The sequence below is a fragment of the Homo sapiens genome, chromosome 15 (assembly GCF_000001405.40).
Source record: "Homo sapiens chromosome 15, GRCh38.p14 Primary Assembly".
Taxonomy (NCBI): Eukaryota; Metazoa; Chordata; class Mammalia; order Primates; family Hominidae; genus Homo; species Homo sapiens.
Window position 1 is genome coordinate 32,745,107 of NC_000015.10, and position 2,465 is coordinate 32,747,571.

Genomic DNA, 2,465 nt, shown 5'->3' on the forward strand with positions numbered 1-2,465 from the left:
CCTCATGAGTGATTTGCTTTCTTTTAAATACTTTAGGAGAATGTTTGGGGATTAAGTCTCAAGATAATAAGGGCAAGTCAGAAAATACAACTTACCTGTCTTTTCTTTTCAAAACTTTTTTGAGAGAAGGATATAATGCGTGGAGTTCAGAAAACCCATAATTTGTATAGCATTGATGTAGCCCATTCACAATCTAGGATTTTTGATATACGTGAGCAGTCATGGTGGAGTGGGTCAGACCAGGCATGGCTCAGCTTCGTACTTCAGGCCACACTGTTCAATCTGTTCACTTGATCCACATGCTAGGATGTGAGAATTTTTCTCTTACATCCTTTCGCTGGAGCCATTTTGGCTGTGCTTATGGTAGTGACAGAGTTTCAAAGAAGAAGAGCCCATAATGTCTCCCAGGCATACTACAAAGGAAATATAAGTCATCAAATAGTTGAATCTGGATCTGGGCCAGGATAACTCGACTCTTCTTATAGAAGGTGCCATGGGATCTATAGTGATGGCAGGTGATGGAAGAAGTGGGTCCCCTCAGCTTTATGTCTTGTCTGAAAGATGATAACCATGCTAATAAATTTAGTGCCACATTCTTTACAGTGTGCTCATCCGACCCCTAGAACAAGGCCATAAACCATAATGGAGTCCATGATGCTTTCAATTATTAGACATTCATTTCTGCTTTTCACTTTCTTTCTCTTCTGCCAAAATTTGGCTTTATTGATTACACTTTATGGAAGGATGGAAGAGGGCAGGGGTAGAAAAAAGGCCCACTTTTTAGAAATCTGAGAAGAATTATATGTCTGTCAAAATAAAATCCCGGCTCTCTAATGGAGGAATACAAAACATTTTTGCTATTGTATCTACCATAAATACACAGATATAATGAGCAGAGCCTGGTTGGGGGCATTCTTGAGTCTTTTCAGAGCCACAGGTTATTTTATGTTAACACCCTCATTAAGAAAATCATTAAGTTTTTCTTTTAGTAGTTAGTAGTGAGGATATGTACAACCCCACTTCTGGCTTTTTTTTGAGAGCAGGAAGGCATACAGAAAAGTTTATGGAATGTGGCATTGAGCTCCAGAGAGAGGCTCTGTTTGTCAAGGAAAAAGGGAACAGAATAGAGGTGGGTGTTAAAGAATATTTTATTTGGATTTCTTGCCCTGATACTTGACACCGAAAACTTGCCGTTCCAGTTGTTGGAAGGAAGACTGGAAGAGCTATTTTATTCCCTGCTGGTCTATTCTTTTGTATTTTATTAAACATTTTAACTAGTCACCTCCTTTCCAGACACACTGTTAACAATTGAATGCCACATCCATACCAAATTCTCACCCATGACTCAAGGGAAGCTGGACACTATTCTCAAAATAGAAGTAACGAGCCATTAGTGGTGATGAAATACTAGATGGAAAAATCTCAATTCCAACTCCCTCCAGGAACTGAAGACTCTAAAATATTCTTCTACCCTGAAACCTGTCTTGCAATCAAATTAAGATCTCCTCACTAATTTTTACCTCTCACCTGAGATTCCTTGTATTTGTGAATGAAAGTCTTTCATCAGCAATAAAGGGTATGCTTAGTGAATAATGAATTAAGATTGTGGAAGAGAATCATGTCTTTTGGAGAAGACGATCAGTCTAGGATGATGCAAAATCTCTTGGTGATTTTTCTTTTTTTAACTTTTGGCTGGCAGTGAAAGTTTTCCCTGAAAGATTAAGGTAGGTGAAAATAGGTGAGGAGAGGAAAAGGCTGAGGTAGTAAGTAAAGAGACAATTTTGATTTGTTTTGTAAGTTTCCAGAAGGTCCCTAGGCAAGTAGAGAACCAAAATCAGTAGAAGGAAATTGCAATGGAAGGGAAATATACAAGTGGGACTGAGCAGCATAGCAATTTGTGAAGCCCTTTAATAGAAACCTTATCCACTATATTGGAGAATGAGTGAACCATGTCAGTAGTCAAAGAATGCTGCCAAGAGCTCTATGTGATATTCTAAATACAGAATCCATATTGCCATTGTCTGCATTCCTTTCTAGACTTTTTGGAGTGAGGAATTAGTGAGCGTTGTAATGAGGAAGTACTGAGTAATTGGAAAATATTGTTAATTGTGGCGCTTCCTTCTTTGATTGCTGTCTCTGAAACAGTCTGAAAAAATAATCCTATCCTGCGTTTTTGCGATTTGTTCATTATAACAAATGAAGTCAGAGCCATGTGCGCTGTTTCTGGTTGTGGATATTAAGAAAGGCCTTTAAATTGAATCATGTCTATATTTTTGTTCGTTTGTTTGTTTTGAGACAGAGTCTTGCTCTGTCACCCAGGCTGGAGTGCAATGGCGCGATCTCGGCTCACTGCAAACTCTGCCTCCCAGGTTCAAGTGATTCTCCTGCCTCAGCCTCCCAAGTAGCTGGGATTACAGGTGCCTCCCATGGTGCCCAGTTAATTTTTGTATTTTTAGCAGAGATGG